This window comes from Homo sapiens, chromosome 13, assembly GCF_000001405.40.
Source record: "Homo sapiens chromosome 13, GRCh38.p14 Primary Assembly".
NCBI classification, from domain to species: domain Eukaryota; kingdom Metazoa; phylum Chordata; class Mammalia; order Primates; family Hominidae; genus Homo; species Homo sapiens.
In genome coordinates, this window is record NC_000013.11 from 43,807,581 (window position 1) to 43,825,240 (window position 17,660).

The following is a 17,660-nucleotide window of genomic DNA, read 5'->3' on the forward strand; positions in this document are numbered from 1 at the left end:
TTATCCTTCCAACTCACTGGAAAGATGCTCATTGGAGGCAGGGACTATGTCTTGTCTTTTTTATATCTTGCATGGGGTCTCACACAGAGCAAGTGCTCGATAAATATTAGTTCATTTGATACAGCTTTTTCTCTTGCATCTCTCCTCAGGAACGAGGCATGAACAGCAATTTACTGGAGTGCTCAAAAGTGCTTTTAATGTAGGACTTGTTGAATATTCTCCAGATTGACAACTACAAAGCCACCGAGTAGGAAATGTCTCAGGTAAGAGACCCTCTGGAGTCTCAGATTCAGACCCTTCCCAGATGAAGTCCTTCTTTGTTTGGTGATCTTAGATGCCTACCTCTTCTGCTTAGTTCTATCAAACTCTTATTGGTTCACTATGCTTTTTTCCTGTATATAGATCTTCCCCTTAGGCAATTGTGCTATTCTCTAAGAATAATGTTTGTCCTGTTCCCCAGTCTCCCACAGCCATAGACATATCCTCTTCTAACTTACTGATGGTTTCTCTGTTCCAGTTACATTAGAAATATAACTTTGTAAAATGCTGCTATGCAAGCTTCTAAGCAAGTTTGATTTAATTGGTTTAGAGAGGGGGCCAAGAATTTGATGTTTTTAAAATTCTCTTGGGTAATTCTAACATGCAGTCAGAATTGAGAACACTCCATTTTCTGTTTTTTTTTTTTCTGTTTTATATTGTGCTCAGCTAAGAAGTTCCTATTTTTTCTTTCTCCTCAAATTTAGGCCAGAACCCTAGCTTACAGTTTAACTGTTAAAAATTAATATTTGCAAGTATAGACATTTACCTAAAAAGCCAACAGTGATATAGACTATGTAAAATAAAACCAAATAAAATTATATAAACATAATGTATAATAGAAGAGTGTTATACTCTGCTCTACTTCTGCTACCTTGTGGAGATAACTAGAATCCTCAGATGTTTTAAAGATTTTAAGGCTAGAGATTCCCCAAATGGGTTTAAGAACTGCTTAGTTAATATATGAATTATAAATTGGTATGAAACTGAAAGATCTGGTGAAACAAGATCTTGAGAATCTCTACCAATGTTCGCTCTCCCCAAGCATTTCTGCCAATTTCCCCAAGCATTTCTGCCAATTTCCCCAAGCATTTCTGCCAATTTCCCCAAGCATTTCTGCCAATTTCCCCAAGCATTTCTGCCAATTTCAAATGCTGGAGAAATCAAGGAGTCAAGAATGTGATTTTCTTCAAGGAAAGGATTGCCTTGAATAGAATTTAGAACACATGACTCCCACTCAAATGTGCTGCCCAAAAGAAGATGCTGCCAATGATTAAATCAAACTGGGTTTGCTGCCCACTCTGTACCATTTCCAGGATTTTTGATGTTAATTACTATTGAGTACAATGGCATGGGATTTTTCTCAGCCCATCACTATGTTTTGTATAACACATAAAGTGTCTGGGGTGTATGTGAATGGCTAATAAATATATGTGTGTAATAGGTTTAGCTAAAATAAAATGATTCACATTAGGACAGAATGCCCTCCTCCATCCATTTGAAATTGTTTTATTTAATTGTATTCTACACTATTGAATCCCTAATATTTCTGTCAGCAATCAATGGAAATGATGATGGCATAAAATCTACACGCCTAACATCTAATTTATCAGGAAAAATTAGTGGGTTTAAATACATAATTAGTTTATAAAATGTGGTTTTGAACACATTTACAGAATGAGAGTTTTTATCTGCCAGTTCACTGAAAAGGCCTTTATGAGTGTTTAGGGAACTTTGAGGACAATTGTAAAAGAACTTGTAACCAATTGGAGGATGAGCCTTGGAAGAGGAGCATAAACTGTTGGCCCAAAATTGTTATGAAACCGTTTCATCTTCCCAAAAACATATTCTGTTTGAGTTCTGAACAGCCATTTCTCTATTTCTGTTCCTCCTCCCTTGCTTTTTGTTTCTCACTGGAGAATGTTAACAGAGTTTGCTAGGTCTAGGTTTTGTTACTTTTGTAAAGATACATAGATGAGTAATTGAAAAATCAAAAAGATTTGACAAATCAGAAAGCCAGAGTGAGAGACAGAATACACAAATGTGTGATTCTTGAGAGACCCCCAACCATGCTGCCTTCTCTTTAATTTGCAGACCTGTTATGTAGGTGTATTTTCTTTGTTCTCTTTTACCCTGTCAACTAAGCAGGTTAAAGTTGACCCAGCAGCATTTAATAGCTCTTTAGAGATGAAGCAGAATACAATGACACAGCAGAATCACTACTTTTAAGCATGAAGTTTTGTTCTTTTAGAACAGTTATTAAGATTGGGAAAATGCCCAGGTAAGATTTTTTTCCCAGAACAGAATAAAGGACTTTTTTTTTTTTTTTTTTTTTTTTTGAGACGGAGTCTCGCTCTGTCACCCAGGCTGGAGTGCAGTGGTGCGATCTCTGCTCACTGCAAGCTCCGCCTCCCAGGTTCACGCCATTCTCCTGCCTCAGCCTCCCCAGTAGCTGGGACTACAGGCGCCCGCCACCACGCCCGGCTAATTTTTTGTATTTTTAGTAGAGACGGGGTTTCACCGTGTTAGCCAGGATGGCCTTGATCTCCTGACCTCGTGATGCACCCGCCTCGGCCTCCTAAAGTGCTGGGATTACAGGCGTGAGCCACCGCGCCCGGCCCAGAATAAAGGACTTTCTTTCCTATCTTCAAAATTAACGGAGAATATCAATAAAATAGAACATTGTCAAAACATGATGGTCCCCTGCTGCCACAGCAAGGACAAGGTAAAACTAGAAAGTAGATGGCAAGCAGAAGCCTGCTTTGTAACAGTGAGTGATTAGCAGTGACTCAAGGGTTTTGAGCAACTGATCAATTGACGAGAGAAGGAAGGCGACACTGCAAGGGGTGGGAGGGAAATAAATCTGTCTCTATTTTGCTCTACTAAAGAAAATTCTGTTTTTTAACCCTTGAATAAAAACCAGAAGATACTTTTGGGTTTTTTGTTTTGTTTTGTTTTGTTTTTTGAGATGGAGTCTCACGCTGTCACCCAGGCTGGAGTACAGTGGAGCGATCTCGGCTCATGGCAACCTCCGCCTCCTGGGTTCAAGCGATCCTCCCACCTCAGCCTCCCCAGTAGCTGGGATTAAAGGTGCCCACCACCACCCCCGGCTAATTTTTGTATTTTTAGTAGAGATGGGGTTTCACCATGTTGGTCAGGCTGGTCTCCAACTCCTGATCCCAAGTGATCCACCCGCCTCAGCCTCTCAAAGTACTGGGATTATAGACGTGAGCCACCATGCCCAGCCTAGATAATCTTTATTGAATATCATAATTTATAAGGTTACAAGCTGGTTAGATATCCTGCCATCATCCTCTTGTAGGATAATGGCAATTGACTTCTTCTCTGCAACTATTTCAAAGAAGTCCAGGGAAATGTATTGCAATGGACAAAACCTTATTGGCCTACATTAATAGATGCTTAGGGCCATGTGTTATACGATTCCAGGGGACAACATTCATGCAGGTGACTTCCTATTTTTGCATAGCAGGTAGGACTCTCAAACCATGAACATAACTGTGCAAGACATACCCATTTCTTTTCTATAACCGAACTTAATTTCTGACTCTAGGATTCCCATCATCCATTTTTTGGAGGAGAATTTATCCTCTGCCTTTCTTGGAAGCCTCCTCCAGCCCCAAATGTGCCATTGCTCTGGGATTTTGCACACCACCAAGTGGATACTGGGAGGAGCCAGGTTTGAGCCATCTCCAGAGGCTGCCTGTTAAAGTGAATGGCCCCCAGCAAGCAGAAGGAGACTGTGGGTCATCACTAGAGGACAGAACCTGAGGAGGCTGGTAAGAGGTCATTTGGAAAGTGTCTCATAGAGAATGGTGCAGATTAGCATTCCTTGGTGGGGAGGCATTTAAATAATCTGCAAATACAACCCAACAGAGACTACATTTTAATGACCATTGAGACAGAACCACAAACAGCAAAAGCTAAGTAAAAAGGCCTTTTCTCTTGCTTTCAGCCCTCCTCTTCCCCACTGGAGGGGAGGAGGGGATGTGGTATTGGGACCTGGAGTTTAGAAGAAGACAGCAGTAGAAACAGCCTGCACTTCCTACTCCTGGTACCCAAACAAAGCCAGAAGTCAGGCTTCAGTTAAGAGGAGAGAAGCTTTAGTTTAAATTAAAAAATTAAAGTAAGACTTATGTGTACCTAAAGATAAGACTGTAGCTGTAGTTGAAAATTACCAGAAATGCTATGGAATCTCCCTGAGATGTTGCCAAGTGGTAGGGAGGATACACCTAGCAGGGCATGGGTGAAGACAGTGGTTTGCTGATTGTATCCTAAAGAGAATGTGCTTATGTGCTTTGTCCCTTCCAGTCTGGCTGCCCTCTGAAGCCTCCCTGTCCTCCTTCCTCCCCAGTCACAACTATTACCTGAAGCCATTCTGCACTAGGCTCCCACTGCCTCCCTGGAGGCTGCATTTGACTCCTCCCTGCTCCCAGGCCTCCCTTTCTTGGGAAACCTCTCTCTCTCTCCTACTTTTTTCAAATTCCACTTGTTCCTGCAAATATTTTTTCCCTTATGTATCCTCTATAAACAGTGTAAGTTCTTCTATGGGCTTACATTTTATTTTTAGAAACAAAAGCCAGAAGGGGCAAAGGCTACTTTACTTTCTACACCTGAAGTAGTGGCTATTGACATGAATATGGAAAGGGCAAAGGACAAATAAAATGGTGAGGAAAAAATATAAATTATATATCAAAGCCATATGCTGTTCTGCTTTGATTTCTAATGGAACTTAGTCAATCTTGAGCTGATTGGGTTTTGCTGTTGGACACAGAACATGAATGTAACTTAAATGAATCACAGCATATTTTATACAGCATATGCTTGCCTTCTTCCCTGTGCTTTATGTGGGCTGTGTAAGAGGGGAAGCAGAGAACTCACCATATTTATAATTAAATAATTAGCCTAATAGCTCTTACATATCTGCCTTCCATGCTCAACTGGAAGCTCCATGACTGCCGAAACTATGTCTGTCTTTTCACTGTGGATCTGAATTTCTTCTCCACAGGTACGTTCTTGTTATATGAATGAGTGAATCTGTCAAAGTGTTAGGTATGTTGGGAGGTGTAGGTCAGGAGTGTGGCAGCCAGGACCAGGCTACTATTCAGCCTCTTTGTGTGAAGAGCAGGGGATTTGGGAGGGGTGAGTAGATCTGGACTAAGTCGTCTCCTGAGATCCCTTACAACCCACCCAACTGTCCGGGGGCTTTCTGATTCAGGGTCAGTCTGGTCTTACATATGACCTGCCATAGCTTTGAGGGTTATAAGATATATTATGATAGGTTTTGTTCAAGCACTTGTCAAAACAAAAAATTACCAGGCCATTTCTTTTCACTTTCAAGAGGCATGTTAAAATGGCATCAACCCATTAGTAGCATTTATACCTATAAACAATAGAAACATCTCAACTTAGTGTCTGCCTTTAAGAGAAAAATTTTAAAAATTAAATTGCCACTTCTTCATATTTATTTAGCATATTCACAGGCTAAAAAAGAAATAATTGCAGGTCTCTTAAAGGCCTTATGGCTTACTCCAGAGTCAGTAGTTTCCAGTTTAACTTGGACTAATGGGTTGGTCAGCTAAGGATTGCTTTGGAGAGGGACTTACTTTAATGATTACAGACAACACTGATTCTTAAAGACTTCATGTTCTGAAAAGCATTATAATGATGGAATGATTATAAATAATAATATTCATAGGACACTTTATAAAGAATCCTGCCATAGTTATGATTTCATGTCTAAACCAACGCAGGGAGTAGCACATGAACCAATGGTGTAGATCCTCAGAGACATGTTTCCCTGCTTCCCGACTCCCACCCAGCCTCTGAGTCTCCATACAGCTTGGACTCAAAGATTCTCTTTTATTCCTTCTCCATGATAGTTAGACCCCCGTGCTCAGTTTCGTGGTTGTTCCAGCACGCAAAGGCTATGGTTTGAAATATCCCAGCCTTTCCTTTCTATTTCATCCATATCCTGCCCATCGTCTCAAAGATAGCTCATCTTGTTCACTCCTTGAAAATTTGTGAAACATATTTGGTATTTCATTATATTAACTCTTTCAGTGCTGCTGAACTGTTTCATCTGCTTCAGGTATTAGTGGCAGGAAGGAGAGGACCATGCCTTGCACATTATGTTGCAGAGATTCCCTTAGTAGATGTACACTTGTTGAATAAATGGTCCAGAATCATACCAATTGGAATACTTTCTTAAATCAAGTTACATGTTTGTATGGTGCCCTAGAAAATGTCTAGCACTTCTTAGGTGTTCAATAAATATTAATACTGCACTTGTAACCTGAGATGTTGAATTTGGTTTTAAAATAAGCCAACAAAGTAAGCAAGCTACTTCCCAGGTATGTTACCTTTTATAACTTCTATGTTTACAACTCTACTACCATATTGAGAGAATAACTGTTTAACATGATGACCCTGTGGTAAAAATCCAAACTCATTAAAAAAGAAAAGTTTGAGTTTCAAGTCAGTTACAAGTAAAATCAAATAAAGGAAGAAAGGAAGGAAAGCATGAGGGAGGGAAGGAGAGAGGGAGGGAGGAAAGAAGAAAAAAAGAAAAATTAAAATGCATTTGACATATTGAATGTATTAATTCAATTGCCAACCATTCTTTTGCAGTGCCTCCTAATCCTGGACAACAGAACATTGCTGGACAACCATGGCAAAGCTGAGCTCAGTGGGCTCACCATGGATTTACTCTGATCTGCATTACTTAGATCATTAATGTCAATCCCTTTTTTCCCAGTAGCTTTATGTCTGTTCACATCATTTCATTCTCAATTGCACTAGCTCTGTGCTTTTACCCTTAGCTGTTATCCTCACCCTCTATCTAAACAAGAGCTCCTTTGATTTCCTTCCTCCTCACTTTAAAATTTTCTTTTGCCTTTGATCGTTCTCTTATTTTTCTCATCCTGTCTCAGGAATGCTCTTTCTTCCCAAGGCTATGCCTTCCTCTCTGTATGGATCCTGTCCCCTCCTGGCTTTCCAGGACTACTGCATGAATTACCTTCTATTTTCTTGCATCTTCAGTGTCACCCTTTTCATGAGCTCTGCAACAGTCCTATTGCCCAAGCTCTAGAAAATCCCCCTCTTAAATTATTGTATTTCTAGCCTTTCATTTACTATCTCATTTCTCAAAAGTGCAATAAACATGTAATTTCCCTTTTTCTACTCTTTTGGTTTGAGGCATATTATCCTTCTATTTCTCACACCTAAGGCCTCAAATTCCACCTGTAAGGGGGTGAGCTTGCACTTAGGTTCTAGGCTAAATCTAGTCACAAGAAAGCAACTAGTGCAGTTAGATTCACAGTTTAGAGTGTCTGTGGAAATGCTTCACCTTGGGATGGGATTCTGCCTGCATTACTGTTACTTAAGCATACTGATGCCACCTGGATATTCACCTGCTTCAGCTTCTGCCTGTTGACCCCTTGCACACTACTTTCTCCCCCTCTCATGTTTGGAAGAATCAACCTCAAAATGTTAACTTCATTATTGATAAAGCCAACTGGGGAACATGTCTTTAGATGTTTGGTCAAAAGCCTTGCTGAGTTGAATTTTCTCCTACAACAGCAGCCCAGAATGCACTCTCTCTGCACTTGGTTTGCAGGCTGGCTTATGGAGAGTCAGGGGTTAAGTGTTCTTCCAACTTTGCAAAAGATAAATCAGTCATCTACTAGGAAAAGAGGAAAATCAGAGATAAGCTGAAAGCATTCCTCTCATAATTTTCCATTCCTGGGGAGTAGATTTGACATTTTCTTCCCTTAATGGAAACATGAGTCATGAGGAATAAATGCTCCCTGCTATCAGTCCTCTCTCTCCCTTCTAGGGCTTCTCCTGGTTCCTGTTCGGCCCCCAGAAAGCTTGTCTAATCTTGGCTAGCCTGATCCAGCCTCCACCAGCCCCGATGCTGCTGGTATACACTTGCTCCTTAACCACACATACTGTGGTTTCTGCTTTAACAATCAGCCATAGGATTTTAATTACCCAATCTAGCCACACGTTCTCAGTCCTTTTCTTCTCTAACTTCTCAGCTCAAAAATTTTGAATACATCCCATTTGATTGTGGACAAAGAGGCAATGATCATGGGGTAATGCACTATGTTTTTGTACACTAAGTTTCTTTTGTAAATACCATTGTTTCTGGCCAGGCGTGGTGGCTCACACCTGTAATCCCAGCACTTTGGAAGGCCGAGGCAGGCGGATTGCCTGAGGTCAGGAGTTCGAGATCAGCCTGACAAACATGGTGAAACCCCCTCTCTACTAAAAATACAAAAATTAACTGGGTGTGGTGGCACATGCCGGTAATCCCAGCTACTGAGGAGTCTAAGGAAGGAGAATTGCTTGAACCCAGCAGGAGGAGGTTGCAGTGAGCCAAGACTGCGCCACTGCACTCCAGCCTGGGTGAGAGAGCAAGACTCTGTCTCAGAAAAATTAAATAAATAAATAAATAAATAAAGCCATTGTTTCTAATTTTTTTTTTTAAAAAAAGCTGTTTCCTTAACATTCCAGTATGCTCTATTCTAAGGCTTTTCTAAAAATCAGTATTCATATAAAAAATACTTTCTACTGATGTAGAAGAGGGGTAAGAACTTTGGAGTGAAAACAGATTAAAGCTTGGGTTTGAATTCCAGTTCTGACACTTACTAATTAAATGACTTTATTTAATTTCTCATCACTTTAGTAATTTCATTTCTAAACTGGTGATTAACAGTGGCTAATGTGTATTAAATACATAATGCTAATCACTGAGGGCTTTATATGCATTATCTTATTTAATCTTACAACTCCATGAAGTAATCCTATTATTATTTCCATTTTACAGATTTTTAAAATGAGATTTAATGAACAAAAGAAACTCGCCCAAAGTCACACAACCAGTAAGTGAGAGAGTTTGGAATAAAATCTAATAAAACACATATTTGAACTCAAGTTTATGTAAATCCGAAGTTAAAGCTCTTAAAAGCTGTGCTTTTCTTTTTCTGTACTTAGTATATGCAAAGATCTCCTACAGTGCCTTGTGCTGATTATGAAGTCACCAGACAATAGCTGTCATTATCATCACTGCCATCATTATTATAAACAAAACATTACGTTCGAGCTTGGCCATCAGTCTTTTTGCAGTGTTTTTCAATTTGGTTTCTTATTATGGATTCACTAAAAGGAGTCAATTTCTCTTTTTATATGGACACTTTGTAGTAGAATTGAAGATAACAATTATTAGATAAATTGACATGGTGTTATTCATGTACTAGAAGGAAACATTGACATATTTCTTAATAAGCTGAGTATGAGAAAAACTTTCCTAACTATGACACAAAATACAAAAACAGTAAAACAATTGATCAGTTCAACTACATAAAAATAAAACAACTTTTGCATGGCAAAAGTAATATAAAAAAGTAAAAAGACAAATGACAAGCTGGGGAAAATAATTGCTACTTCTGTCACAAACGAAAGATTATTCTGGCATGAAGACAGCCACATTGACCTACAGGATAGAATAGAATGCCAAGAAACAAGCTCTCACATAGATGGTCAAAACATTTTTGACAAGGGGACCAAGACCATACAATGAGGAAGAAACAGCCTTCCACAGATGGTGCTGGGAAAACTGGGTATCTACTTGCAAAAGAATGAAGTTGGCCCCTGCTTTTATACCACATACAAAAATCAACTCAAAATGTATCAAATATTGGGCTGGGCATGGTGGCTCACACCTGTAACTCTAGTACTTTGGGAGGCCAAGGTGGGTGGATCACCTGAAGTCAGGAGTTCGAGACCAGCCTGGCCAACATGGTGAAACCCTGTCTCCACTAAAAATACAAAAATTAGCCAGGCATGGTGGCACATGCCTGTAATCCCAGCTACTTGGGAGGCTGAGGCAGGAGAATCACTTGAACCCAGGAGGCAGAAGTTGCAGTGAGCCGAGATTGTGCCACTGCACTCCAGCCTGGGTGATAGAGCCAGACTCTGACTGAAAAAAAAAGTATCAAAAATCTAAACATAAGAGCTAAAACAATAAAATTACTAGAAGAAAAAACATGGTGGAAAGCTTCATGACATTGGATTTAGCAAAGATTTCTTAGATATGATGTAAAATCACAGGCAATGAAAAATAGATAAATAGTTGAACTACATCAAAATGTCAAAATTCCGTGCACCAAAGGACATAGTAAATGATGTAAAAAGGCAACTAACTTTTTTTCCTTCATTTCAACTTTGGTGAAACTGACAATTATGTGTCTTGGAGTTGCTCTTCTCGAGGAGTATCTTTGTGGCGTTCTCTGTATTTTCTGAATTTGAATGTTGGCCTGCCTTGCTTGATTGGGGAAGTTCTCCTGGATAATATCCTGCAGAGTGTTTTCCAACTTGGTTCCATTCTCCCCGTCACTTTCAGGTACACCAATCAGACGTAGATTTGGTCTTTTCACATAGTCCCATATTTCTTGGAGGCTTTGTTTGTTTCTTTTTATTCTTTTTTCTCTAAACTTCTCTTCTCGCTTCATTTCATTCATTTGATCTTCCATCACTGATACCCTTTCTTCCAGTTGATTGAATTGGCTCCTGAGGCTTGTGCATTCGTCACGTAGTTCTCGTGCCGTGGTTTTCAGCTCCATCAGGTCTTTTAAGGACTTCTCTGCATTGGTTATTTTAGTTAGCCATTCATCTAATTGTGATCGGTGTGCTGCACCCACTGTCCTGCACCCACTGTCCGACACTCCCCAGTGAGATGAACAGGTGCTGGAGAGGATGTGGAGAAATAGGAACACTTTTACACAGTTAATGGGACTGTAAACTAGTTCAACCATTGTGGAAGTCAGTGTGGCGATTCCTCAGGGATCTAGAACTAGAAATACCATCTGACCCAGCCATCCCATTACTGGGTATATGCCCAAAGGATTAAAAAACATGCTGCTATGAAGGCACATGCACACGTATGTTTATCGCGGCACTATTCACAATAGCAAAGACTTGGAACCAAGCCAAATGTCCAACAATCATAGACTGGATTAAGAAAATGTGGCACATATACACCATGGAATACTATGCAGCCATAAAAAATGATGAGTTCATGTCCTTTGTAGGGACATGGATGAAGCTGGAAACCATCATTCTCAGCAAACTATCACAAGGACAAAAAAACCAAATACCACATGTTCTCACTCCTAGGTGGGAATTGAACAATGAGAACACATGGACACAGGAAGGGGAACATCACACACTGGGGCCTGTTGTGGGGTGGGGGAAGGGGGGAGGGATAGCATTAGGAGAAATACCTAATGTAAATGACGAGTTAATGGGTGCAGCACACCTTCATGGCACGTGTATACATGTGTAACAAACTTGCATGTTGTGCACATGTACCCTAAAACTTAAAGTATAATTAAAAAAATATTTAGCAGAAAAAGAAATGCTTATGGCCTTTAAACATATGAACGATGTTGAACCTCACTTATTAGATAAAAGCATATTAAAATATATTTGTATAATAGTTCTCTGACCTGTTATGTAGGAAAAATCCAAAAGCTTTACAATGTACAGCGATGGTAAGGCTTTGGAGAAGCAAACAGTCTCATACATTGTTGGTGTGATTATAAAAATGGTAGGTAAAACACCAGGGGACAGAATTCAGTAATATCTAGCAAAATTATGTGTGTATGTATGTTTTCAGCAAGCAATTCCACTTCTAGGAGTCTATTCCAAAGATATACTAGCTAAAATAGAAAATGACGTTTTCATGAGGGAGCATCCATTGCAGTACTATTTGTAACAACAAAAGATTACAAACAACCCAAATATTCATTAAAAGTTGAATAATCCATGGACATCCATTAGAATGAAAAGTGATGTAATTATGAAAAAGAAATTAGGAAGACCTCTATGTATCACTGTGGAGATATGTCCAGTATATTTAGTAAAAATAAGCAACAAAGCCAACAAAGTTTAAACAGCCTATACTACGCTACTTTTTGTCTCATAAAGGGATAAATACAGTACTTCTTATATTTAAAATGAAACAATGAAATAATGAATCAAAAAAATAAAAATTGTATGCCATAGAGGGATAAGGAAAATAAGAAGAGAGCAGAAATGGAATCCAGACCTCCCTAAAGTTACCTTATTTTATAATTTTAATTTGTAAACATGTAAATATCTCACATAATTAAAAAATAAGATGAAATAAAGATTTTAAAATGTGATTTCTAAAAATATAAAAATGTGATTTCTAAAAATATGAAAAAGAGAAACAAAATACATATTTTGTCTGTTCGTTGCCAGTAGAATATCATAAGGACAAAAAGACCCAAAAACCTGAAGTTTTTTTTATTGTCAATAAAATTGTTATTATTATTTTGAAACAATAAATATTTGTATTAATGTGATTTAGGATCTAAAATTTTCAGCACAGGAGAAAAAAGTGCATCTATAAAAGTGAAGGTGTTAAGGAAAACTCTATGTAATCTTTGACTTGAAAAACATAGTATAAACTGATGGGTTTTTAAAAATCAGTCCAAACTATTGTCAAAAATACAGTAGAAACTGATGATTTACTTATAAGTCCAAAAATATTGTTGTTTTCTACCTCTACCCACAGAAAAGCCTGAGGGATAGTGACAACCTAGTTTTGATGAACACCCTTAATGCTGAGCTTGTGGTTTCTAAATACTATTTCCTAATTTAAAAAAACACAGGAGCTCCACGGTAAAGTAGCAGGTTTCAGGTCTAAGGCGGGGAATATAGATGGTAAGTATGAGACAACTTGACACTCCTTAAGCAAGTAAGTTACAAAAACTTGGGGTTTTGCCGAAAGGACATTAAAGGTAACTTGAGAAGCTCTCACTGGTCAAAGATAGGGCTATTTGAACATCAATAATAATACTGTCACTGATTACAACATCAAATATATAAAAATCTACGAGTTAATTATAATGCTTTGAAAAGGGAATCTGGCTTATTACCTTTGAATATGGCTAGAACACTGGCTTCTTATTCTAAAAATTGAAAACTAAAATGAAAGAATCGAGTATCAATCCTGCCTCTCTTCTATGAACCATGTTTCCAGTTAATCAAAGAGCTGATGAAGCAGAATTTTTCTTCATATAAGAATCACGGGAAATAAATCAGTTTCTCATCTCTAAAATGAGAATATTTGTGATCCACTTTATAGTGTTGCTGTGGCTCACAGTAAAGGTCCAGTACACGTTAGCTTTTATAATTACACATTTTGAAGGGTATGCGTTCTTTTAAAAATTGCTGTAGAGAAAACACACATGCTATTGAGAATATTCTTGAAAAGTATTTTTCTATTTAGAACAATGTTTGATATCAACTTATAATAGTGCTATCCTAAACCAAATTTTATTCTCAAATGTCTTATTCCATATGCTATTCCATAAGGTCCAGGATAAGCCAGTAAGAAAAATGTGTTTTAGGATTTTTTTCTTTATCCTTGACCTTTGGGAGTTTCGGAGTTTGATTATTAAATTCCTTGAGATAGTCTTCTTTGGGTTAAATCTACTCGCTGCTCAATATCCTTCTTGGACTTGAGTATTGATATCTTTATGTAGGGGTTTTTAAAACATTTTTATTTTCTGAGACAGAGTTTTGTTCTTGTAGTGCAGACTGGAGTGCAGTGGCACAATCTTGGCTCACTGCAACCTCCACCTCCCAAGTTTAAGCTGTTCTCCTGCCTCAGCCTCCCGAGTAGCTGGGATTACAGGCGTCTGCCACAATGTCTAGGTAATTTTTGTATTTTTAGTAAAGATGGGGTTTCAACATGTTGGCCAGGCTGGTCTTGAACTCCTGACCTCAAGTGATCTGCCTGGCTCAGCCTTCCAAAGTGCTGGAATTATAGGCGTAAGCCACTAGGCCTGGCCCTTTCTCTAGATTTGATAAGTTCTCTGCTCTTATCCCTTTGAATAAACTCTCTACCCCATCTCTTTACCTTCTTTTTAAGGCCAATAACTCTTAGATTTGCCCTTTTGAGGCTATTTTGTAGATCTTTTAAGTGTTCTTCATTCTTTCTTATTCTTTTTTCTTTTGTCTCCTCTGACTGTGTATTTTCAAATACCTCATCTTCAAGCTCACGAATTATTTCTTCTGCCTAAATTCTGATATTAAGAGGCTCTGATGCATTCTTCAGTGTGTCACTTGCATTTTTCAACTCTAGAATTTCTTCTTGATTCTTTTAAATAATTTCAATCTCCTTGTTAAATTCATCTGATAGAATTCTGAATTCCCTCTCTGTGTTATCTTGAATTTCTCATAAGTTTCCTCAACACAGCTATTTTGAGTTTTCTGTCTGAAAGGACACATATCTCTGTTTCTCCAGGATTGGTCCCTGGTGCCTTATTTAGTTTCTTTGGTGAGCTCAAGTTTTCCTGGATGGTCTTGATGCTCGTAGATGTTCGTCAGTGTCTGGTCACTGAAGAGTTAGGCATTTATTGTTGTCTTTGCAGTCTGGGCTGGTTTGTGCCCCTCCTTCTTGGGAAGGCTTTCCAGGTGTTAGAAGGAACTTGAGCCCCAAGCCCAATAATGCTGTGGTTCTTGCAGACTCATAGAGATACTGCCTTGGCAGTCTTGCATACGATCTGGAAGAATTCTCTGGATTACCAAGCAGAGACTCGTGTTCTTTTCCCTCACTTTCCCGCAAATGGAGTCTGTCTCTGTCTGCTGAGTTCCCTGAAACTGGGGGTGGGGAACACAGGCTACCACCACTGGGACTGCACCAATTCAGACTTGAAAACAGCACAGCACTGGGTTTCACCCAAGGCCCCCTGTAATCACTACCTGGCTACCGCCTATGATCACTCAAGGCCCTAGGGCTCTATGATTAGCAGGTGGCGAAGCCAGCCAAGTTTGTGTCCCTTCTTTAAGGGTGGTAAGTTCCCCCAGGCCCCAGTTGGGTCCAAAGATGCTGTCTGGGAGCCAGGGATTAGAGTCAAAAACCTTAGAAATTTACCTGATGTTCTATTCTACTGTGGCTAAGCTGGCACTCAAACCACAATACAAAGCCTTTCCCACTCTTCTCCCTCCTTTTCACAGAGAGAGGAGCCTCTCCCTGTGGCTGCCACCACCACCAGCCCATGGTGGGGTTCTGCCAGGGCACTGCTGATGTTCACTTAGAGCCTAAGGGCTCTTCAGTCAGCTTGTGATGAATGCTTCCAGGCCTGAGACTCACCCTTCAGAGTGGTGGGCTCCCCTTCTTTTATAAGGCAGGTCCAGAAATGGCCATCCAAGAGCCTAGGCCTGGAACCGGGGACCCCAAGGGTCTGCTGGTGCTCTACTCCCCAGTGGCCAAGCCGGTGCCTAAGGTGCAAGACAAAGTCCCCTTTACTTCTCTCTCTGCTTTTCTCAAACAGAAGGAGTCTTTTGCTGTAGTCACCACAGCTGAGAATGTCCTAAATCACACCTAAAGCCAACACATCTCAGAGCCCAAGGCCCATGGTGTACTACCTGGGTACTGCTGTTTGTTATCCAGGGCCTAAGGACTCCTTAGTCAGCAGGTGATGAATCCTACCAGGACTGGGTCCTTCCCTTCAAGGCAGCAGGTTTCATTCTGGCCCAGGGTGTGTCTAGAAATGTAATCCACTAGCTAGGGCTTGGAAAGAGGGGCCTCATGACTCTGCCTGATGTCCTGTCTCACTGTGGCTGGGCTGGTATCCAAGATTCAAGACAACGTCCTCTTTACTCTTTGCTCTCCTTTCCTCAAGCAGAAGGAAGAAGTCACTTTCATCTCTGTGAGCTGCACTGCCTGGGGTTGAGGCAGGAGTTGTGCGAGCACTCCCTTGGCCTCGCTGTCTGGTATTGCTCTAGGCCATTTACCTGACAAGTTCCCAGGATCTAAGGCCAGCCCAGCACTAGGCGTTGCCTAGGAATTGCAATCCTTGTGCCCTAGATTACTCTTCAAGTTTACCTAGGACATCAGAGCACTTATGGCCCACAGTGGCAAGGCCTTCAGAGAAACTCAAGTTTCCATCACTGGGATGGGTGAATCCCCTCTGGCTAGGTCTGCTCTGAAAGCCTCCTCCATGCGTGGGCGCTAGGTGAGCCCAGCACAGCTTTATTCTCTACTCCCAGGGCAGCACTGAGTTCAGTGTAAAGTCCCCCAGTTGTCCCTCCCTCAAGTGCACAGATTCTCTCTCTGAGCCCCCAGTCACTGCTGGGGTATGGAGGAGTGGTAGTTTGGCTCTTCAAGACTATCTCTTCTAGCCTCTTTCAGAAATATGGAGTTGAAACTAGGTACTGTGATTGCTCACCTGATTTGGGTTCTTGTGATGATGGTGCTCTTGAGTATAGTTAGAATTTGATGCTCCTGCTTGGGGAATGAGTGGTGCAGGCTTCTATTGGGTCATCTCGCTTTGCCTTCCAAAAAATGTATTAAATGACAATAAATAATGATTTCATGTTTTAGCAAGGAGTTTAACCCTTTTTCATGCCAACGGAATCTCTCAGATTGGAGGAGTCAGTTCAATATGAGTGAACAATATGCTATGACTACCATGAAAAGCACATGTAAACTGAGGTTGCATTAGTAGAAACCTGAGTCCCAAATATGGGATGAAATAGACCTCTTCTATAAGCAACTAATAAGACTATATCTTTAGTATCTTTTTGTTTTCTTCAACTTTCATAGGACAATGTGAAGGAAGAGTATATGCAAAGGGATGTAACTAGCATGGTGAAAGGACTCGCACTTATGCCACATAAGTTGTGATAGAAACGGAACTCCTACCTTTCACTACATACAGAAATTAACTCAAGATGGATTAAAAACTTAAATGTAAGACCTCAAACTATAAAATCCTAGAACAAAACCTAAAAAATACTTTTGTGGACATCAGCCTAGGCAAAGAGTTTATGACTAAGTCTTCAAAAGCAATTGTAACAAAAACAAAAATTGATAATTTGGCCTTAATTAAACTAAAGACCTTCTGCACAGCAAAAGAACTATCAACAGAGTAAACAATCTACAGAATGGGAGAAAATATTTGCAAACTATGCAGCTGACAAAGGTCTAATATTCAGAATCTTTAAGGAACTTAAACAAATCAACAAGAAAAAATCAACCCCATTAAAAAGTGGGCAAAGGACATGAACAGATGCTTCTGGAAAGAAGATATACAAGTGGCCAACAAACATATGAAAAAATGGTCAGCATTACTAATCATCAGAGAAATGCAAATCAAACCCACAATGAGATACCATCTCATACTAGTCAGAATGGCTATTGTTAAAAAGTCGAAAACAACAGATGCTGGTGAGGCTGCAGAGAAAAGACAATGCTTATACATTGTTGGTGGGCATGTAAATTAGTTCAGCCACTGTGGAAAGCAATTTGAAGGTTTCTCAAAAAACCAAAAATAGAACTACCATTCAACCCAGCAGTCCCATTACTGGGTATATACTCAAAGGAAAATAAATTGTTCTACCAAAAAGACCCTTGCACGGGTATGTACTTTAATTAAAGCACTATTCGCAATAGCAAAGACATGCAATCAACCTAGGTACCTATAAATGGTGGACTGGATAAATAAAATGTGGTACATATACACCATGGAATACTATGCATCCATGAGAAAGAATGAAATCAT

The 17,660-nt window shown here is 39.8% G+C and overlaps 1 protein-coding gene and 1 long non-coding RNA gene across 3 annotated transcripts in view; one reads left to right on the forward strand and one right to left on the reverse strand.

Annotated features, from left to right (window-relative positions):
• Positions 1-3,601: 3,601 nt before the first annotated feature.
• Positions 3,602-7,236, forward strand: LOC124903166 (uncharacterized). Its single transcript, XR_007063773.1, has 3 exons — positions 3,602-3,833; positions 5,002-5,062; positions 6,685-7,236. It is a non-coding gene; the product is annotated as an uncharacterized LOC124903166 (long non-coding RNA).
• A 4,201-nt stretch (positions 7,237-11,437) lies between these two features.
• CCDC122 (coiled-coil domain containing 122) overlaps positions 11,438-17,660 on the reverse strand; it is a 60,723-nt gene continuing 54,500 nt past the window's right edge. The window contains exons 7-8 of one of the 2 annotated variants that reach the window (XM_047430112.1): positions 16,326-16,431; positions 11,438-15,375 (exon numbers count right to left, since the gene is read on the reverse strand). In XM_047430112.1, the coding sequence (XP_047286068.1) occupies positions 16,366-16,431 (66 nt within the window). In that variant the 3' untranslated portion in view covers positions 11,438-15,375; positions 16,326-16,365. Of the gene's footprint in view, positions 16,432-17,660 lie in introns of both variants that reach the window. The other variant, XM_047430113.1, reaches the window with a different exon arrangement.